The 23,234-nt window shown below is 47.9% G+C and overlaps 1 annotated feature.

The window, feature by feature from the left end:
* Positions 8,223 to 8,312: a silencer, noted in NCBI's record as "silent region_2467". NCBI's record gives its function as "represses an Ori minimal core promoter by ATAC-STARR-seq in GM12878 lymphoblastoid cells {active_cell/tissue: GM12878}" and the evidence as "EXISTENCE:reporter gene assay evidence [ECO:0000049][PMID:35858748]".

Consider the following 23,234-nt stretch of genomic DNA (forward strand, 5'->3'; position numbering starts at 1 on the left):
ACACTGTTTGGGATAAAACAGATCCAAGGCTTAATGAGACAGATACCATCTCTGCCCTCCAGAGGTTACAGTCTGCGGTCAGGGGTGGGGGGGGGACCTACAAGAGAAGGGGCAGAGACCACAGGGCATGTGGTCAGATTTAAAGGGAGGGGCTGCCTCGGAAGCCACCCAGTCCAGAATTGGGCAGCCGTAGAAGGCTTCTGGGAGCAGGCGGATCTGAGCTGAGACCCAAGCATAGGCAAGAGTCAGCCTGGCAGAGGGGTGGGGCACAGAGCTCATCTTCCAGGCAGAGTCCTGGGTGCACATGTGTCTGGCAGAAGGAGGGCTGAGCTGGGCATGAGGTGGAAGTGAGCCGGGCCATGCAGAGCTCAGCAGGCCTGAAGGGGAAGCCATGACTGTCTCACAATGCCTCCCTCAGCATGTGATGCTAAGGGGCAGAAGCTGGCTCCCAGGCACATCTCAAGGGCACCAAGCCAGGCACCCCACAGAAGGCCTTCAGGAACCCTAGTTAAATAGGTGACTAAGCAAATTATTTCATGAATAAATGTAACAATGAACTGATACATTTGAAGGAAACCAGAGTATTCCACCCCTAAAATATGCCTCCTTGACATTTTTTTGTTTTGTTTTGTTCTGTTTTGTTTTTTTGAGACAGTCTTGCTCTGTCACCCAGGCTGGAGTGCAATGGCACGATCCTGGCTCACTGCAACCTCTGCCTCCCAGGTTCAAGCAATTCTCCTGCCTCAGCCTTCCGAGTAGCTGGGATTACAGGTGTGAGTCCAATTCTGTATTTTTAGTAGAGACAGGGTTTCACCATATTGGTCAGTCTGGTCTCAAACTCCTGACCTCAGGTGATCCACCCGCCTTGGCCTCCCGAGTAGCTGGGATTACAGGCATGAGCCACTGTGCCCGGCCTTTGTGTGTGTGTGTGTGACAGGGTCCTGATATGTCACCTAGGGTGGAGTGCAGTGGCATAATCTAGGCTCACTGCAGCTTTGACCTCTGGGGCTCAATCGATCCTGCCCCCAAGTGGCTGGGACTACAGGTTTGAGCCACCATGCCCAGCTAACTGTAAATTTTTTTGTAGAGACGAAGGTCTTGCTATGTTGCCCAGGCTGGTCTCAAACTCCAGGCCTCAAGTGATTCCCCCGCCTCAGCCTCCCAAAATGCTAGGATTACAGGTGTGAGCCACTGTGCCCAGCCTTCAAAAGATATTTTTGAACTGAGGTTTCTCCCACATGATGGGCATAGCACGTGTTAAAAATAAAATTGCTTCTTTTTCTTGTCAATCTATCTTTTGTTTGAGGAGAATGCCTCAATCACGAACTTGTGAGGGATGAACAAAGATGATGTCTTTTCTCTCCTTCCCATGCATGTGGGAATGGGTGAATCCAGGGTTTCTAGTGCTGTTTCCCTGAGTCTTTTTTTTTGAGATAGAGTCTCACTCTGTCACCCAGGTGCAATCTCGGCTCACTGCAACCTCTGCCTCCTGGGTTCAAACGATTCTCCAGTCTCAGCCCCCTGAGTAGCTGGGATTACAGGCACCCAGTACCATGCCCGGCAATTTTTTTTTTTTTTTTAGACTGGAGTGCAGTGGCACGATCTGAGCTCACTGCAACCTCCGCCTCTGGGTTCAAGCAATTTTCTGCCTCAGCCTCCCAAGCAGCTGGGATTACAGGTGGCTGCCACCATTCCTGGCTAATTTTTGTATTTTTAGTAGAGACGGGGTTTCACCACGTTGGCCAGGCTGGTCTTGAACTCCTGACCTTGTGATCCACTCACCTCAGCCTCTCAAAGTGCTGGGATTACAGGTGTGAGCCATCATGCCCAGCCTCCCTGAGTCTTCAGTAACAATCTTGTTTGGCCTCTGGGCAGGCCAAGGAGGAGGAAAGTTACTTGGAGCTTCTCTACCCTGATTTTCAAGGAAGGGAAAACAGAACGAACCGTGAGCCAACAGGCCCTGTTTTCTTTCTCTTGGGAGAAGGCTGGCCTTGGGGAGATGTTCTAGGAAAGGTCACCTTTCCACTCCATGGTGCCAGGTAGGAAACCAGAAGGCCTTCCTTACAAACGAAGGGAACATTTCTTGCCAGATCTCTGGAGGAAAACTTGGAGGGAAAGGTTTGCTGCTATCCTGGAGAAGAAAGATAACAGTACTATCCAACCCCATCTGACCTCTGGAAGGCAAAGTCAGGCACATTATCTTTCAAGCCACGTGGGAAGGAAGGCAAGAGCTAGAGGAGAGACATGGAGGAGGCCCAGGGAGGGCAAGTGATTTTCCCAAAGCTACATAGCCAGCCTTAGACCCAGCTATGAGTTGAACCCACAGGACCTTCTCTGTCCATTAAACCACGGGGAAGGAGGACAGAAGCAGGGAAAACTGAGTCTGTTTGCAGGAAGAAGATTCAGAAAAGCAACTGGACTTACTAGAAAACGAAAGAAAAATTATCTTTCGAGGGGCACCACGGCTCCACCTGCGCAGAATGCAATTTGGCAATGAGGAGTCAGGGACTCAAATGTGTTCCTTTCCGTTAGCCCAGTAATTTAACAGCTGGGAATGCGTCCTAAGGCCTATGGCCAGGAAAACACTCATACAGAGATGCTGATCAGGGCATTAGTTCAATGGTAAAAGACTGGAGATGAGCCAAATGTCTGACAATAAGAAAGCTGTTAAGAAAATCAAGACAGTCACAACATGTTATAGGCCCAATCAGAGGGCCATTTGTGAGGGCTTTTTCATAACGGAGAAAAATATGAACATCAAGAAGTCAGGTGTAGAAAAACAGGATGTGAAATAATTTATGCTGAATAACAACAGCTATTTTAAAAAGGCATAGGAGAAAGATAGGAAGCAAATGGGCCAAAACGGTACTGCAGTGGCTTTTGTGGGATGGAACTGGGGAGAACTTGGGGAACTTGGGTTTTTTATTCTTCTTGTTGGCATTTTCTTTAATATATATGTATTGCTTGTTTTTTTTCCAGACAGGGTTTCACTCTTGTTGCCCAAGCTGGGTGCAATGATGCAATCTCAGCTCACTGCAACCTCTGCTTCCCGGGTTCAAGTGATTCTCCTGCCTCAGCCTCCCAAGTAACTGGGATTACAGGCGCGCACCACCACACCTGGCTAATTTTTTGTATTTTTAGTAAAAACAGGGTTTCACTATGTTAGCCACCTGAACTCCTGACCTCAGGTAATCCGCCCCCCTCTGCCTCCCAAAGTGCTGGGATTGCAGGTGTGAGCCACTGCACCCGGCCTGCTTTTTTCTTTAAAAATGAAAAATATTTTACACTTCTTTTCTGATTATAAAATCAGTAATCAGTATGGCCAGGCATGGTGGCACTTTGGGAGCCCGAGGCCGGTGGATCAATTGAGGTCAGGAGTTCAAGACCAGCCTGACCAACATGGTGAAACCCCGTCTCTACTAAAAATACAAAAATTAGCCAGGCTGTGGTGGCATATGCCTGTAATCCCAGCTACTTGGGAGGCTGAGGCATGAGAATCGCTTGAACCTGGGAGTCAGAGGTTGCAGTGAGCCCAGATCGTGCTACTGCACTCCAGCCTGGGCGATAGAACAAGACCTTGTCTCAAAAAACAAAAACAAAAACAAAAACAAAAAACAGTACATTCTGCTGGTAAAAAAATAAAAATACAAACAATATAGATATGTATGAGAGTAAAAAGTGAAAGAACCCCTGTAATTCCACTGCCCAGAGATAACCAGTGTTAATAGTTAATATTTTCTTAGTCATGCACACACACATAAAACACAGGCAGTGAGGTAAGTGGTCACATTCCTGTACCTATATACACATATACACATGGACACCCACATATACACGTACACAGAGTGAAGGGAAAATAGAATCTCAGGACCCCAAACTCACTATGCCAAAGGGAAAAGTTAAGCTTGGAAACTGAGTCACACCAAAAGCTGCCCTTTCTTTTTTTCTTTCTTTCTTTCTTTTTTTTTTCTTTTGAGACAGATTCTCACTCTGTTGCCCAGGCTAGAGTGCAGTGGCACAATGTCAGCTCAATGCAACCTCTGCCTCCTGGGTTCAAGCGATTCTCCTGCCTCAGCCTCCTGAGTAGCTGGTATTATAGGTGCCCACCACTATGCCTGGCTAATTTTCTTATTTTTAGTAGAAATGGGGTTTCACCATGTTGGGCAGGCTGGTTTCGAACTCCTGACCTCAGGTGATCCACCTGCCTCGGCCTCCCAAAACGCTGGGATTACAGGCGTGAGCCACCACACCTGGTCAAACTGCCTTTCTTTTTGTTTCTAAGCAGATAGCTACAAAATAGAAGACCGTGTCTCCGCTGGTGGCTTCCCTCACCCTGACCATGTACATTAACACCTTATCTTCACAGGTATAAGACAAAGACAAGACTAGAAATCACCCCTCCAGCCACCCAGAGACAAATGCAGATTTACTGAGCCGGCGACAGAGGCATAATTGCCTGTGCCTCCACCCTCTCCTTTCATAGGTAACACGTGGATTTGGTGAGCACTAATCAAAGCCTCACAGAAATGTGCCCCCTTATCTCACTGCCTACCCTCCTTTTTTTTTCCTTCCCCACTTTCCCTCCTGCCTGCTCTTTCTCCTTCTAATACTGAAGCCCTCAAAATCTTCTCTGAAAAAATTATGCGGCCACAGATCCCACTGTGGCATATGCCTCTTTTTTGGGGCACGTCCTCAGTCTTGTCAAAATAGACCTCTAAATATTGATGGAGACTTGCCTCAGACACTTTTCTGGGTTACAACACGCATACATACATATACACATACATACTACATATACACATCCGTATCTATACATGCACTTATGCACATATACACATACCTGTGTGTATATATATATACACACATGGACATGCATGTATGCACAAATACATACACATATATACATGTGTGTATATAGAACTACTGTTTTGGAACTTATTTTTTCATGTAACATGATATATCCATTTCTCCACATCAATTCATATAGATCAATCAGCCTCATCCCCTTTATATTTAACATTTTTTCTTTATTTAAAAAAACCTTTTTTTTTAGAGATGGGGTTTCACTATGTTGGCCGGGCTGGTCTCAAACTCCTGACCTCAAGCAAGCCTCCTACCTCAGGCTTCCAAAGTGCTGGAATTACAGGCGTGAGCCATTGCACCTGGCCAGACTCAATCTCTGTTTTTTTTGTTTGTTTGTTTGTTTTTTTTGAGATAAGCTCTCATTCTGTCACCCAGGCTGGACTGCAATAGCGTGAACACAGCTTACTGCAACCTTGACCTCCCCGGGCTCAAGTCATCCTCACCTCAGCTTCCCAAGTAGCTGGGAATATAGGCATGTACCACCAGGCCTGGCTAATTTTTGTATATTTTGTAGACATCGGATTTCACCATGTTGCCCAGGCTGGTCTTGAACTCCTGGGCTCACACAATCCACCCGCCTTGGCCTCCCAAATTGCTGAGATTACAGGTGTGAGCCACCGTGCCTGGCTGCCTCTTCCTTTCCTTTCCTTTCCTTCCTTCTTCCTCCCTTTATTTTTATTTATTTATTTATTTATTTATTTATTTATTTATTTATTTATTGAGATGGAGTTTTGCTCCTGTTGCCCAGGCTGGAGTGCAATGGCCCAATCTCGGCTCACCATAACCTCTACTCCCAGGTTCAAGCGATTCTCCTGCCTCAGCCTTCCGAGTAGCTGGGATTACAGGCATGAGCCACCACGCCCGGCCAATTTTTTTGTATTTTTAGTAGAGACAGGGTTTCTCCATGCTGGTCAGACTGGTCTCGAACTCCCGACCTCAGGTGATCCGCCCACCTTGGCCTCCCAAAGTGCTGGGATTACAGGTGTGAGCCACTGCGCCCAGCCCTTTTTTCTTTTCTTTCTTTTTTCTTTTTTTTTAACTTAAAGACTTCATTCTATTTGATGGCTGCTTAATTTCCACTGTAGGATGCAGAATTTTTTTTTGGTAACAAATCTCTTATCTCTGGATTTTTGTGCTGTTTCCAATTACTTTAATCATGACATATGACTCTGCAATGAACATATACCTCGGCACATGTGTTTTTCCTAGAAGTGTAATTGCTGGAGCAAACAGAAGGCATGTTTAATGCTTTTCCTCCACATTAATACATTCCTTTTAGAAGATTGTACAGGTATGAATTTGAAGGTAGTACTCATTTCCCCATATTTATGCAGCATTAGCATTTTATCTTTGCCAATGGTATAGGTGAGAAAATGTTTCATTGTTGGTTTAATTTGTGTCTCTTTAAAACTTGGTGAGACTCCTTTTCCATGATTACAGCCTATGTGGATTTCTTATTTTGTGAATTGCATTTATGTACATCTTTGGATGGTTATTTATTAGAACTGCATTGCCTTAATAATTGCAACAGTAATATAAATCTTAGTTTTTGTTTTTGTTTTTGTTTTTTTTGAGACAAGAGTCTCACTCTGTTGCCCAGGCTGGAGTGCAGTGGCACAATCTCAGCTCACTGCAACCTCCGCCTGCCTCCCAGTTTCAAGAAATTCTCCCACCTCGGCCTCTCGAATAGCTGGGATTACAGGCTTGTGCCACCATGCCCAGCTAATTTTTGTATTTTTAGTAGAGACGGGGTTTCACCATGTTGGCCAGGCTGGTCTCGAACTCCTGACATCAGGAGATCCACCTGCCTCAGCCTCCCAAAGTGCTGGGATTACAAGCATGAGCCACCATGCCTGGCCTAAATCTTAATTTAAAAAAAATATATATATACTTTTATATATACATATACCTTATATATATCTTTTATATATATACACCTTATATATATCTTTTATATATATATATCATATATATCATATATATATATATATCATATATATATATACTCTCACACACACATATACATATATCTTTACCCCATGATCTCCAATCTGAAGACAGAGAAATTTGCATGAAGGAGGCACACTCAGGGTGGTCTGAGGGCAGAGCCCTGGCGTGGGCAGTGGGAGTTCCTGCTCCAGGCCAGCTTTGCACCTCGCCTGCTGGGAGGGCTCAGGCAGAGCATCCACCTGGGCTTCTGGGAGCCTCTGCTTCCTTCTTCAAGGCCTGTGGCTTTCAAAATCTTAATATGGAATCCCACCATGATAGCCCAGTGTTTCTCAATCCTGGCTGCCCTTTTGAAAAACTGGAGGAACTTTAAAAATATATACCTCTTCTCAGTCCCCAGAGATACTGACTCAATGCCTGACTTAAAAAGCTGCTCAGGCGGGCAAAGTGGCTCACACGTGTAATCTCAACCCTTTAGGAGACTGAGGTAGGAGGATCGTTTGAGCCCAGTAGTTCAGGACCAGCCTGGGCAACATGGCGAGACCCTGTCTCTACATAAATAATAAAAAATATTAGCCGGGTGTGATGGTCCACGCCTATGATCCTAGCTATTCGGGAAGCTGAGGAGGGAGGATCGCTTGAGCCCAGGAGGTCAAGGCTGCAGTGAGCCAGATCGTGCCACTGTGTTCCAGCGTGGGCAACAGCAAAACTCTTGTCTCAAATAAATAAATAAAAAATAAAAAACAAAACAACAACAACAAAAGAAGAAAAAGGAGGAGGAGGAGAGAAAGAAAGAAGGAAGAAAAAGAGAAAGAAAATTAGAATGGGAAGAATTTCAGTTTTATAACTGTAACTGATTATTTTAAACGTATTTTTATTGTAAAAATAAAACCCGGATACAGAATCCAATGGTTCTGATGTACGGCTTAACTAATTACTACAAAGTGAACTGCCTCCGAGACCAAGAAAAAGAACTTTGCCAGCCACAGCAGAAGTCTCTCCACGCGCCCCACCCCAGTCACTCCTTCCTCTTCCATAAGTAGTCATCCTTATTCTGACTCACAGGACGCATTAATTGCGTTTTTAACAGCAAGTCCGCTGGAGGTGGGAGGCGCTCGGGGAAGCTTCTAGGGCCGTCAGGGCCCATTCCCTCCGCTAACACCCCTCTCTCCCCAACCCTCAGGTTGCGCAAGACCTCTCCAGCCCGGCGAACCCGTGGGGCTCAGCAGTCCTCCTCCACGCTCAAGATGCAGTTTGATGCAATCCTAGAGGACGCAGTTTCAAGTTTCTCGAGATAGAGAAGCGAAAGAGGATCCGAAACCGCGCTTCACATCTGAATCTGATTTCAGATTCCTCCGGAATATAGCGGAAGCGCGGGGTTGAGGGCGCAGACCGGGGCAGAGGAGAGGCGCGCAGGTCTGCTGGGACGCAGCGCGGGGCGAGCAGTGGCGCACTCGTGGCCTGACGCATCCGCGAGACTGCACGCGGCCAGGCGGGGGCACGAACGGGTTGGGGCATGCGCGGGCAGCGTCGAGTGGGTCCCTTGGGGGTGGGGGTGGGGGGCAGTCGAACTAGGGAGAGAGTCTGTGGAAGGGCTCAGTTGTCACTTCACACCTTTCCCCGCTGTTTATTGATCTTTAACTCTCTCTGTGTGTCCTCTCTCTCTCTCTCTCTCCCTCTCCTCTCTCTGTTTCTCTCTCTCTATCCCTTCCTGTCCACCCTTTGGGGCCATCTCTTCCAAGAAACAACCGTCTCTCCCAGCCCATGGGAAATTGTCTCTCCTGCGAACTTATCCAACCTGAGGGGGTCTCATCCATGCCGATACCGGCTGCTTGTGGAACCTTGTAAGAGTTCTTCCCTCTCCCTGTAAAATGGAGATAAGCTGTGTGGTGCTGAGGCCAGCGCCGGGCACACTCACCCTCACCTTCTTCCTGAGAGAGGAAAGAGCCTGGAGACCTGGATTCTACCTCTGCCCCCAACCCCTACCACAGGGTAGCCCTGCCACCACCTGCTGGTTCTTTGGGCAAGTCACTCTTTTATTGGACTTCCATTTCCTCAGCTCTAAAATGAAGGAGGTGAGCCCAGTGTGGTGGCACCTGTAGTTCCAGCTACCTGCAGGCTGAGGCAGGAGGATCGTTTGAGCCCGGGGGGCAGAGGTTAGAGTGAGCGGAGATCTTGCCACTGCACCCCAGCCTGGGCAACAGAGCAAGACCCTGTCTTTAAAAAAAAAAGTGATTAAAAAATAAAAATAAAATGAAGGAGTTAAACAAACTCAGGAATTTTGTATGAATGGCATAAATGAGCACATTAGAAGGAAGCAACTTTCCTTCTCTCTTTTTTTCAATCCTGTACAGGCCAGCTTCCCCTCTGCCCTCTGCTCCCCTCCTCCCTCCCTACCATCCTCCAGCCCCCCAAAGCCCTCCCAATTTGAGCCTCCTTTTGGAAAACATCTCTGAGTATGGTACCGTTGGTATCGGTGACTAAGAGGCTCCAAGGATACCCTTCTGGGGGATTTCCAAAATAATGAGGAAGTCCATTTCCAAAATCATGGGAAGTCCCAACTGGGCCTCCCAGACAGTTGGCCACTGAGTCTGTCCCCTAAAGGATCTGCTTGACTTGCACAGTCTTAAAGGCATCATGTCTGGTTTTTAAACATAATTTCAGTTAGTAGCCAACAGTTCAGATCAAGGGATCACACGGCCTGTTTGACCTGTTCTTGCAGGGTCATGCATGCTCCACTGAGCCATGGGAAGTGTCCACACCCAGCCATGGGAGCCCTGTGGGATCTGAAACTGACATTTCTGCTTTAGGTGCCTTAAGCTGAAGAAATGCATAGTAGCGGGAATTGGAGTGCAAGTGAGTGCAGTAGGGGAAGTATTTTGCCATAAGAAACCCTAAGCCTCTATGGACAAGAAATTCTCCAGGGGCAGACTGGCCTTGACCCCAGAAATGTCACATTGGACTCGGCCTTGGTTTTCCTCATCTATACAATGGTCAATCAGACTAGTGGTTTGTTTTTTGTTTGTTTGTTTGTTTGTTTTCTCTGTCGCCCAGGCTGGAGTACAGTAGTGCAATCTCGGCTCACTGCAACCTCTGCCTCCTGGGTTCAAGCAATTATCCTGCCTCAGCCTCCCAAGTAGCTGGGACTACAGGTGCACGCCACCACATCCAGCTGATTTTTGTAATTTTAGTAGAGATGAGGTTTCACCATATTGGTCAGGCTGGTCTCAAACTCCTGACCTCAGGTGATTCACCTGCCTTGGCCTCTCAAAGTGCTGGGAATACAGGCGTGAGCTACCACACCGGGCTCAGATTTGTGATCTTTAAGGGTCCTGTGAACTCAGCACTCTAGACATTTTAGGGCCTGTGCACTTCCGCGGTAATGGTTTCTTGTTTTGTCCTCACTCGGAGGGCACACTCCTCAGGCTAGTGGCATGGGCCATTGTCCTAGAGTCCCTGGGGCCCGGCCCTACCATGAATTCTGCGTCTCTCCCTTCAGCCCTTGTCCCTCCCTCCGTGCCATGGCTTGGCACCGTTCTTGTCTTTGCAACCCTCCACAGGCGCCTCCTCCTCTGACCCTTCAAACCTTCCTGCCCTCAAACTCTGTCTCCCTACACCTCCCTGCCTTCCACTCTATGTTTCTGCCTTCTCCTTCAGCCCACAGATATTACTGACCATGGTTGCCAGCCCTATGTTAGGCCTGGGAATTCAAGAGAGAATTAGAGCCCTCTGTGGACTCCCAGCTCTACTAGGGAGAGAGACCCACAAATAGGGATAGAGAGGGGTAAATGCTTCAGTGGGTGAGTACAGGGCCTGCAAGGCCACTCAGCTCAGACTGAGGGGGTCAGAGAGAGCTTCCTGGAGGAGGCAGTATCTGAAGTGAGAAGCGGAGGGAAGTCCACCAGGCACACACAGCAGGTCGGCGAGAGTGCCGCAGGCTGAGGATGCGGCATATGTGAAGGCCCAAGGAAAAGCAGAGCACGCAGCATGCAGGCCCTGGAGGGGTGAGGCTGCACCTGGGGAGGTCTCATCCCAAGGCTGACAGCAGGTTTAGGGTCTGGAAACGCCACATGCCCTGCTGTCTCCCTGGCTGTTCAACTCCTTCCAGGCCTGACATTCACCAGCTCCTTGAAGACAAGATCATGCAGATACTTTTCAGCACACACATCTGGTCTCCCCGGCAAGTGCCCAGCTCTGGGCCTGTACCCTCCCAGCAGCACCACACAAGATGGCCGACCTGAGCTCATCAACTGCTCACTGGGGTCCCTCCCCTGACCCTAACCCTGCTTCAGTCACCCAGTAAGGGATCCCTGGCATGCAACATGTCCTTGGCTCCAGAGGGGTTAGATCCTTGGGGCTCCAGCAGGCAGAGCTGGAGCCTCGTGGCGTTTTGAGTACTCATAGGGACGGTTTGGGTTGTTGCAGGGATGTGGGAGGCACTGCTGGTGTTTGGGCCAGAGACCAGGACGGCCGAACATCCTGCAATGCTCAGAGCCGCCCTTTGGAACAACAACAACAAAAAAACTGTCCAAAGTATTCTGATTTTCAAATGTCCCTTCTGTAGCGTCCCCTAGTTTGTCCCACTTTCTTTCCGTGTCCTGACCGAAAATCTAGAGTGCCTTGACTGTTTCATGACCCAACCAGCTGCAGGGCTTCCCAGCAGGCTTGAACCCAAACCAGGGCCTCGAACATTCCCAGGCACTGATAAAGAAGTCTAGGTTATTGCCCAAAACCCTGAACAAAACTGGCCCCAGGCTTGAGCCCAATTCCTTAAAGCCTCAGAAAAATTCCACACCCTGACCTCATGGCTGTGGACACACCTAGGTGGACCTCCCTTTCTCTCCTGGCTGCCTGAGGATGTGCACGGCCCTGTGGAAGTGAGCTCCCCTAATAAAAGCCTGGACTCATCACCCCGGCGCTTCGTGCTTCTCTCTTTGGAATCCCAGCTGGCCCCCCTTCAGGATGATTCAGGCACTCCCTTGTGGGAACTCCTCTGCCACCACTTTTGGGGCAACCCTAGCTGAGGGCTGGGGGTGAGACAAGACACTTTCACATATTCGTGTCACTGAAAAACCAAACTCCATTTCACACCTAAACATGAGGTATTTTTGAATATTTTATTTTATTTTATTTTTTATTTATTTTATTGTATTTTTTGAGACGGAGTTTTGCTCTTGTTACCCAGGCTGGAGTGCAATTGCACAATCTCGGCTCACTGCAAACTCCGCCTCCCGGGTTCAAGCGATTCTCCTGCCTCAGCCTTCCAAGTAGCTGGGATTACAGGCATGCGCCACCACGCCTGACTAATTTTGTATTTCCAGTAGAGATGGGGTTTCACCATGTTGGTCAGGCTGGTCTTGAACTCCTGACCTCAGGTGATCCACCCACCTCGGCCTCCCAAAGTGCTGAGATTACAGGCACCCAGCCTATTTTTTATTTTTGAGACAGAGTCCCACTTTGTTGCCAGGCTGGAGTGCAGTGGCACAATCTCGGCTCGCTGCAACCTTCTCTTCCAGGGTTCAAGTGATTCTCGTGCCTCAGCCTCCCGAGTAGCTGGAACTACAGGCGTGCACCACCATGCCCAGCTAATTTTTGTATATTCAGTACAGGCGGGGTTTCACCATGTTGCCCAGTCTGGTCTTGAATTCCTGACCTCAGGTTATCCACCTGGCTCGACCTCCCAAAGTGCTGAGATTACAGGTGTGAGCCACTGCACCCAGCCTTTTTGCATATTTTAAAACATACTCTGAGAACACAAATGAATGGAAGATTGGACTTTGTTTTGTAGGGAACTTCGCCAAGAGTTTAACCATTTCAGAGAATCACAGCACTGATAGCGGCTTCTCTCCCAGGTTCAGGTCACCAAAACAGCATCCTCCACCATCGGCGTTGGTGGCTGGGTATCTGTGATGCTTCCCATGCAATGTGAGCAGCTGCCCACTGAGTCCCGGAGTCCTAAGACCCTTCCCTCACAATCCTAAGACAGTATTGCCTTTTCACTGTGATGGCATTGGTGACATAAAAGCCACTGTGGGCAGGGTGCAGCGGCTCGCACCTGTAATCCCAGCACTTTGGGAGGGTGAGGCGGGCAGATAGCTTGAGCCGCAGAGTTTGCCCAGACCAGCCTAGGCAACATGGCAAGACCCCGTCTCTACAAGTAATAATAATAATAATAATAATAATAATAATAAAATTATCTGGGCATGGTGGCACGCATCTATAGTCCCAGCTACATGGGAGGCTTAGGTGGGAGAATTACTTGTGCTCGGGTGGTAGAGGCTGCAGTGAGCCGTGATCGTGCCGTTGCACTCCAGCCTCAAAAAAAAAAAAAAAAAAAAAAGCCACTATGGGTGAAACTGCTGGAACTTCAGGAAGCAAGGCAGTGGCCACAGACTAGGCAGGTCTCTGTGCACTCCCCTAGATAAGCACTTGTGGGGACAAAATATGCCTGTGTCACTTAAGTACATACCCTTTTGATCTCCTGTGTGATGAAGCAGGGATGCACACAGAGCGCCTGCTCCAGAGCAGGGGACTGGCTCGCAGAAACAACTTGTCAGAGGTGGAGCCACGCGAGCCTCTGGTCCAGGGAACACAGTTTATCTTATTTTTTAAATTAATTAATTAATTTATTTATTTATTTATTTTTGAGATGGAGTCTTGCTCTGTCACCCAGGCTGGAGTGCAATGGCTCGATCTTGGCTCACTGCAACCTCCGCTTCCTGGGTTCAAGCAATTCTCCTGCCTCAGCCTCCTGAGTAGCTGGGATCACAGGCACACACCACCAGGCTGGGTAATTTTTGTATTTTTAGTAAAGATGGGGGGTGTCACCATGTTGGTCAGGCTGGTCTCGAACTCCTGACCTCGTGATCTGCTTGCCTCTGTCTCCCAAAGTGCTGGGATTACAGGCGTGAGCCACTGCGCCCAGCCGAGAACACTGTTTATACGGGAAAGAACGACGAACAGACACATGATGGGTATTCAGATCTGGGCATTTGGCAGACAGACATTTTCTCATAAATGAGCAAAGTGAGCCTGTCCCTTCAAGAAACTGAAGCATTTGTTGCCAATGATAAAGTTGGAACTTGGAGCTTTCAAGGGAAAATTAGAATTTTGGAAAATTTGTGTACACCACCACAAGCTTGACAACTTCTCAATATTTAAAGATTTTTCTGATGCGATGGATGGCAGTGCTAACAAATGCTATTTTTTGACACTGTTCAGTGACATGTCATCTTTTGGGAGATGTATGTGATTTAATGGGTACAAAATTTCAAAGAGGCCACATGATGCTGCACATCACATGTAGGTAAAACAGCCATTCACGGTACAAGATAGGCCAGGCACAGTGGCTCATGCCTGCAATCCTAGCACCTTGGGAGGCTGAGGCAGGCAGATCACTTGAGGTCAGGAGTTCGAGACCAGCCTGGCCAACATGGTGAAATCCTAGCTCTACTAAAAACAGAAAAATTAGCCAAGCATGGTGGCATGTGTCTGAAATCCCAGCTACTCAGGAGTCTGAGGTGGGAGACTCACTTGAACCCAGGAGGTGGAGGTTGCAGTAAGCCAAGATGGTACCACTGCACTCCAGCCTGGGCAACAGAGTGAGAGTCCTTCTCCAAAACAAACAAACAAACAAAAGTACAAGATAGGCCCGTGCATTTTAATATAATAAAGCATGAAATGTTCATTGATATGGGTTCAGATTCTACATTATAATCAACCTTAAAGAAACAATTGCTTGTTAAGTTTTGGCGTAGCATTAAAGAAGAATATTCACAATTATCTGAAAAAGCTATCAAAATACTCGTCTTTTTTTCCAACTCCGTGTTTGCGGGAGGCTGGATTTTCTTCAATCAAAACAATATATTGCGGGACGCAGTGGTTCATGCTTATAATCCCAGCAGTTTGGGAGGCTGAGGTGGGCGGGTCACCTGAGGTCAGGCGTTCAAGACCAGACTGGCCAACATGGTGAAACCCCATCTCTACTAAAAATACAAAAAAATTAGCTGGATGTGGTGGCGCACTCCTGTAATCCCAGCTACTCGGGAGGCTGAGGCAGGAGAATCACCTGAACCTGGGAGGTGGAGGATGCAGTGAGCCAAGATCACAACATTACACTCCAGGCTGGGCGACAAGGGCAAAACTTTGTTTCAAAATAAAAAAATAAATAAAAATTTTAAAAGCCCCAACATATTGCAACAGACTGAATGCAGAAGTAGACATGAGGCTCCAACAGTCTTTAATTAAGACAGTTGCTTGAGAGATTTGCAAAAGTGTAAAACAATGCTGTTTTTCTCACTAAATTTCTCTTTGTTTTGGAAATGAAGGTATTTTTCGTAAAAATATGTTTATGTTTACATGTAATGAGTTCATTATTACTTTTTGATAAATTAATAAATATCTGGGTCCTCAATAATTCTTTTAAAAATTTTTTTATAATTTAAAATAGAGATGAGGGCTGGGCTCGGTGTCTCGCGCCTGTAATCCCAGCACTTTGGGAGGCCAAGGTGGGCAGATCACTTGAGGTCAGGAGTTCAAGAACAGCCTGGCCAACATGGTGAAACTCTGTCTCTACTAAAAATACAAAAATTAGCCGGGCGTGGTGGCTCATGCCTGTAAACCCAGCTACTCGGAGGCTGAGGCAGGAGAATCGCTTGAAACCAGGGGGCGGAGGTTGCAGTGAGGGGAGATCACCCCCCTGCACTCCAGCCTGGGCGACAGAGCAAGACTCCTTTTCAAAAAAACAAACATGTAGCAATGAAGCCATTAAAATAATTTATTTTTTATTTCTTTTTCTTTTTGTATGAATCGACTTTGGATAAGAAAAAAATCTACTTTTTAAAGAGCTGGGTTTGTGTGGTGGGACACCTATTGGGTGCAACAATGTGGAGAACACTGCCCTCTGGCGGTCACTCCCAGTATAGTACCAGAGAGGTGGGGAAGCTTCCCTTGCTATTCTAGGACTGACCATGAGACGGCAGAAGAATACAGTATTTGCTTCTTTTCTATTTCTATTATACTTGCTTTTCTTTTTCTTTTCTATTTCTATTTGCTTCTTTTCTATTTTCTGTTCCTTCTTTTCTATTTTTTTAAATTTAAGTGTAGCTAAGGGGACTCACTATGTTGCCCAGGCTGATCCCCGACTCCTCGGGTCAAGTGACCCTCTCACCTTGGTCTCTCAAAGTGCTGGAATTATGGGCATGAGCCACCATGCCTGGCCTAAAACCCTGTTCCTAATCTCTAGGTTGGTCCTCAAAGCCTCACACTCAGCCGGGTGCCCAGGGATTGGGGCAGGAGTGACCTCACAGAGCTGCCCACAGTAATGATGCCTGAAGTGCTCCAGCTAGCAGGCTAAGCCTTGTCTTCTCTGCCTCCACAGCAACTCATAGCAGCCCTAGGGAAGGCCACATCCCAGACCCCTAAACCCAGAGAGACAGAACGCAGACCTGGGTGGCAAGGACTCAGTAAGTTATTGAGTGCCAAACCGGGCCACCACTGTGCTTGGCTTTAGGAAAACTTGACATCTATAAAACTTTTAATCTCTAGTAGGTGCTCAAAAAAGCCATTCACTCTTTCATGTAACCAAGAAAAGATGTTTGAGCACCTGCAAAGTGCCAGGCACTGTCCTAGTCACTGAGGACACAGTGAGAAGCAAAAGGGGCCCAGGTCCTGCCCACATGGGACTTATAATTTGGTGAGGGAACAAAAAAAATTTAGTCTCAAAAAACCAAAGTTTGGTTAGATGCTGTGAAAAAGGATGGGGTTCTTTAAGGGCACCTGAGAGAGGGGTCTTGTTTTTCCTGGAAGCCAAAAAGAAGCATAAAGGTTGATACGGTTTGGACGTTTGTCCTCCAAATCTCATGTTGAAATGTGATTCCTGGCTGGGCATGGTGGTTCATGCCTGTAATCCCAGCACTTTGAGAGGCCAAGGCAGGCAGATCACTTGAGGTCAGGAGTTCGAGGCCAGCATGGACAACATGGTGAATCCCCATCTATACTAAAAATACAAAACTTAGCTGGGCATGGTGGCACGTGTCTGTAATCCCAGCTACTCAGGAGGCTGAGGGAGGACAATAGCTTGAGCCTGGGAGACAGAGGTTGCAGTGAGCCGAGATTGTAGTGAGCCGAGATTGTGCCACTGCTCTCCAGCCTGGCTGACAGAGCAAGACTCTGTCTCAAAACAAAACAAACAAACAAAACTACCTCTTAACTTAGTCCCCTCGCATTTTTTTTTTTTTTTTTTTGAAACAGAGTCTCAGTCTGTTACCCAGGCTGGTGTGCATGCAGTGGCACAATCATGGCTCACCTTCCACCACAGACTACAAACATGTGCCACCACATCCGACTAAGTTTTTTTTGTTTTTTTTGTTTTTTGGGGTTTTTTTTTTTTTTTTTGTAGAGATGGGGATCTCACCATGTTGCCCAGTCTGGTCTCAAGCTCCCAAGCTCAAGTGATCCTCTCATTTCGGCCCCCTAATGTATTGTCATTCCAGCCATGAGCCATGGTGCCCAGCATCTCCTGCTTTTTAACTTTGTTTTTAAAAGCTTCTTGATTTTTGTTTCAATTTAATACTGTCTTGGCAACTTTTTAACTTTTTGTTGTTTAGTCTCACTCTCTTGCCCAGGCTGGAATGCAGTGGCCAGATCTCAGCTCACTGCAACCTCCACCTCCCAGGTTCAAGCGATTCTCTTGCCTCAGCCTCCCGAGCAGCTGGGATTACAGGTGCCCACCACCATGCCCAACTAATTTTTGCAATTTTAGTAGAGACGGAGTTTCACCATGTTGGCCAGGCTGGTCTCCAACTCCTGACCTCAGGTGATTCACCCATCTCGGCCTCCCAAGGTGCTGGGATTACAGGCATGAGCCACTGCGCCCAGCCCAATTCTGCTATTAAAGGACTCTGATGCATTCTTCAGTATGCCAATTGCATTTTTCAGCTCCAGAAATTCTGCTCTGGATGTTTTTTAATTATTTCAATCCCTTTGTTAAATGTATCTGATAGAATTCTGAATTCCTTCTCTGTGTTATTTTGAATTTCTTTGAGTTTCCTCAAACAGAATTCTGTCTGAAAGGTCAGAGCTCTGTTTCTCCAGGATTGGTCCCTGGTGTCTAATTTGGTTCATTTGGGGAGGTCATGTTTTCCTGGGTCATGCTGCTAGCAGATGTTCTTCGGTGTCTGGGCATTGAAGAGTTCAGTATTTATTGCAGTCTTCATTGTCTAGCCTTAGTTGTCTTTTTTTTTTTTTTTTTTTTTTTTGAGATCAAGTCTCACTTTGTCACCCAGGCTGGAGTGCAGTGGTGCGATCTCGGCTCACTGCAACCTCTGCCTTCCGGGTTCAAGCAATTCTCTGCCTTAGCCTCCCAAGTAGCTAGGATTACAGGCGCCTGCCACCACGCCTGGCTAATTTTTGTATTTTTAGTAGAGATGGGGTTTCACCATCTTGGCCAGGCTGGTCTTGAACTCCTGGACTCGTGATCCACTCTCCCCAGCCTCCCAAAGTGCTGGGATTAGAGGCGTGAGCCACCGCGCCCAGCTGTACCCGTCCTTCTTAGGAAGACTTTCCAGATATTGAAAGGACTTGGGTGTTGTGATCTAAGCTGTATCTGCTTTAGGGGGCACCCACACCCAGTAACACTGTGGTTCTTGCAGACTCATAGAGGTACTGCCTTGATGGTCTCAGACAAGATCTGGGCGAATTCTCTGGATTACCAGGCAGAGACTCTTGTTCTCTTCCCTAACTTTCTCTCAAATAAATGGAGTCTCTCTCTCTGTTCTGAGCCACCTGAAGCTGGGGGTAGAGTGACACAAGCACCCCTGTGGCCACCAGCACTGTGACAGTGCTGCAGACCCAAAGCCAAGACAGCAATGGGTCTTGCCCAAGGCCTGCTGTAACCACTCCCTGGCCACTGCCTATGACAGTTCAAGGGCCTGGGGCTCTGCAATCAGCTGGTGGCAAAGCCAGCCAGGCCTGTGTCCTTCCTTCCAGGGCAGTGAGGTCTCCCAGGCCCTAGGCAGGTCCAAAGATGCTGTCTGCAAGCCAGGGACTAGAGTCCAAAATCTTACAAGTCTACCTGGTGTTCTATTGTACTGTGGCTGAGCTGGCACTCAAATCACAAGACACAGCCCTACCCGCTGTTCCCTCCCCTTTCTAAAGGCAGAGGAGCCTCACCCCGTGGCCACCACCACCACAGGCCCACAGGGAGTTCTGCCAGAGTTCCCTTAAGGCCCAAAAGCTCTTCAGTCAGCTTGTGGTGAATGCTGCATGGCTGGGACTCACCCTTCAGGGCAGTGGGCTCCTCTCTGGCCCAGGGTAGGCCCAGAAATGCCACCCAAGAGTCAAGTCCTGGAATTGGGGACCCCAAGAGTCCACTTGGCACTCTACCCCTCTGTGGCTGTGCTGGTTCCTAAAGTGTAAGACAAAGTCCCCTTTACTTTTCACTCTGCTTTGCTCAAGTGGAAGGAGCCTCACCCCACAGCCACCACAGCTGGGAATGTGCTGAGTCTCACCTGAAGCCAGCAAGTCTCAGAGGCTCACTGAGGCCCTTGACATAGCTCCTGGGCATCGCTGCTGGTTATTCAGGGCCCAAGGGCTCTTCAGTCAGCAGGGGGTGAATGCTGCCAGGACTGGCTCCTTCCCTTCAAGGCAACAGGTTCTCTTCCTGCCAAGGGTGTGTATAGAAATGTCATCTGGGAGCTAGGGCCTGGAAGTGGGGTCTCTGACTAGTGCCCTATCCTGCTGTGGCTGAGCTGGTAGTCAAGATGCAAGACAAAAGTCCTCCCCACTCTTCCCCTCTCCTCTCCTCAAGAGGAGGGAAGGGGTCTCTTTTGGAGCCATGAGCTGTGCAGCCTGGGGTTAGGGGAGGGGTGATGCCAGCATGCCCTTGGCTGCCCCAGCTGATGTCTCAATAGGTCATGTGCCCTGCCCCCCAACTGGCTGAGTGATTTTGAGTGACCTTGAACAAGTCATGTCACCACTCAGAGACAGATAATGGGTATGAATCACGCATTCATTCAACAAACACTTCTTGGGAGCCTGTCGTTGCCCAGGCCTGTTCAGGACACTGTGCAGGTAGCCTGGAGCAGGACTCTCGCTCTGTTTCCAGGCTTTCCAGTCTAGTGGAGAATCTGGACACAGACATGAACAGGTGGTCACGCTACTGTAGTGTGCACAGAGTGACCCAGCATGGTAGCCTGGGGGACATAGGCGCTCTTGCAAACCAACTCCTGGGGACTCGGCCCAAACCCTTTGCTAGCCAGTCCTCCGTGGAGGCCATGATCCGCTGCAGCTGCTGAGCCTGGGGTGGTGGATGGGTGCAGCCGGCCTGGGGAAGGAGGGTATGGCACAGATGCCCTCCGTCCCCGATCCCCAGGCATCCCTGGAAGTGGCTTTGGGGAACAAGTCCCTCGAATACCCTTGAGATTATTTTGTCATTTGCTCTTTTTCTTGAATATGACGGGGGGTGGGGGGCGGCAGATGTGTGGCTGTTACAGTTTGCCCTGCTTGCCCTCCCTCTCTCCCTCCCCATTCCCATCTTCCCTCCCCATTCCCATCTTCCCTCCCCATTCCCATCTTCCCTCCCCATTCCCATCTTCCCTCCCTCCATCTGCCATTTGCAGAACCCCTTACACATTTTCCCAAATCAGCAGCCCTGTGAGTTCCTTTGGATCAGACAGCTGAAAAACAATAGCATCAATTAAATGTTCATTGTTGGAAAGCAGAAAGAACTGTCGCCCCTAATCTTGCTCCTCAGAGAGAACCATTGAGAATATCTTGGAAAATAGACATCTAGTTTTTTTTTTCTCCATGTGTATTCATTTTATTTTATATTTTATTTTATTTTATTTATTTATTTTTTAAGACGGAGTTTTGCTTCTGTTGCCCAGGCTAGAGTGCAATGGCATGACCTCGGCTCACCGCAACCTTTGCCTCCTGGGTTCAAGCGATTCTCCTGCCTCAGCCTCCCGAGTGGCTGGGATTACAGGCATGTGCCACCAAGCCTCGCTAACTTTTTTTTGTTTTTTGTTTTTTGTTTTTTTTTAGTAGAGACGGGGTTTCTCCATGTTGGTCAGGCTGGTCTCAAACTCCCAACCTCAGGTGATCTGCCCACCTCGGCCTCCCAAAGTGCTGGGATTATAGGCATGAGTCACCGTACCTGGCTTTATTGTTATTTTTTATTTTTTGAGATGGATTCTTGCTCTGTTGCCCAGGTTGGAGTGCAATGGTGCCATCTCGGATCACTGCAGCCTCTGCCTCCCCGGTTCAAGTGCTAGGTGCAGTGGCTCATGCCTGTAATCTCAGCACTTTGGGAGGCTGAGGCAGGCAGATAACCTGAGGTCGAGAGTTCAAGACCAGCCTGGCCAATATGGCAAAACGCCATCTCTACTAAAAATACAAAAATTAGCTGGGCATGGTGGCGCACATCTGTAGTCCCAGCTACTCAGGAGGCCACGGCAGGAGCATCACTTGAACCCAGGAGGTAGAGGCTGCAGTGAGCCGAGATCACATCACTGAGCTCCAGCCTGGGTGACAGAACGAGACTCTGTCTCAAAAAATAATAATAATAATTAAAAATAAAAATTGATATATAGTTTTACACTATAGGGTCATATTGTATATATTTCATAACTTTGCCTTTGCAATCCATGTGGTTCCTGTTTAAAGAGAGAGAGACTGAGGCAGAGAGGATGGAGTGACTGTCAGAAAATGTTGGGGCAGAGTGGGGCGTGAACCCCTCTTCCTGTCCTGTCCCTCAGGTGCCTTGGAGCAATTTCAGGGCCCACCTAAAGCTGGTAGGGCAGAGGCTGACGGCCCATTGGACTGGCCCCTCCGCCTGCTTTCCAGATGGTGCAGGACATGGAGCCTCTGTCAGCCATGCAGTGTGACCAAGACCCAGCCCCCACATGAGCACCCACCTCACATGCCCTCCTGGACACACAGCTGGGCTGCATGCCATGGTCCGGGCAAAGCATCCCTAATGTTTTCTCTAACGCTGAAAAACAGACAAAAAGAGTTCAGAAATCACCCCCAGATCCCACCACTCTACACATCGTCCAGTAAGAAGGGAAATGCCCATCTTTACCCATCAGCTCCCAGCACCACCGTCCCATCCCCCACCCCTGCCACATTCTAACCTCTGTTACCGGTTTGGGGCATAGTCTTCCCAAACTTTCCCCAAGTTTAAGTAGACATCACTTTACGGGTAAGTGTATAGATAGTTTACAGAATAATACATTTTTTCCTTCTTAAACATGGGATTAGGCCGGGCGCAGTGGCTCATGCCTATAATCCCAACACTTTGGGAGGCCGAGGAGGGTGGATCACCTGCAGTCAGGAGTTCAAGACCAGCCTGGTCAACATGGTGAAACCCTGTCTCTACTAAAAATACAAAAATTAGCTGGGTGTGGTGGCACATGCCTGTAATTCTAGCTACTTGGGAGGCTGAGGCAGGAGAATGGTTTGAACCTGGGAGGTGGAGGTTGCAGTGAGCAGAGATCATGCCACTGCACTCCAGCCTAGGTGATCAAGCAAGACTCCATCTCAGAAAAAAAAAATGGGATTATAGAGCCAGGTGTGGGGATGCACACCTGTAGTCCCAGCTACTTGAGAGGCTGAGGCAGGAGGACCACTAAAGCTCAGGAGTTTGAGACCAGCCTGGGCAACACAGTGAGACCCCCATTTCAAAAAAATTTTTTCAATGGGATTATGCTCTTAATATTGATCTGTATTTTTTACACTCAGTAATATACTATGGATATTTTTTTCAGCTCAGTATTGATAGATTTACCTTATCCTTTTCCAATGACTGCATAGAATTTCATTGCATGGACATAGCATAATTTATTCACTCAGTTCACAATTGATATATAGCTATACATATAAACATAGACAAAAATATAGATAGATGTTACTTTCAGTTTTCTTATTTTTAAAAAACCTTTATTTTCGGTTTGGGGTCCATGTGCAGGTTTGTTATATTGGTAAACTCGTGTCACAGGGGTTTGGCGTACAGATTATTTCGTGACCCAGGTACTAAGCCTCGTACCCAGTATTTACTTTTTCCTGATCCTCTCCCTCCTCCCACTCTCCACCCTCTAGCAGGCCCCGGTGTCTGTTGTTCCCCTCCATGTGTGTATGTGTTCTCATCATTTAGCTCCCACTCACAAGTGAGAACATGCAGTATTTGTTGTTCTGTTCCTGATTTAGTTTCCTAGAGATAATGGCCTCTAGCTCCATCCATGTTCCCGCAAAGGATATGATCTCATTCTTTTTTTTTTTTTTTTTTTTTTTTGAGAGAGAGAGTTTCGCTCTTTTTCCCCAGGCTGCAGTGCAATGGTGCCATCTCAGCTCACTGCAAACTCCGCCTCCCAGGTTCAAGCGATTCTCCTGTCTCGGTCTCCTGAGTAGCTGGGATTAGAGGCATG

The sequence above is a fragment of the Homo sapiens genome, chromosome 10, assembly GCF_000001405.40.
Source record: "Homo sapiens chromosome 10, GRCh38.p14 Primary Assembly".
In the NCBI taxonomy this organism is placed as follows: domain Eukaryota; kingdom Metazoa; phylum Chordata; class Mammalia; order Primates; family Hominidae; genus Homo; species Homo sapiens.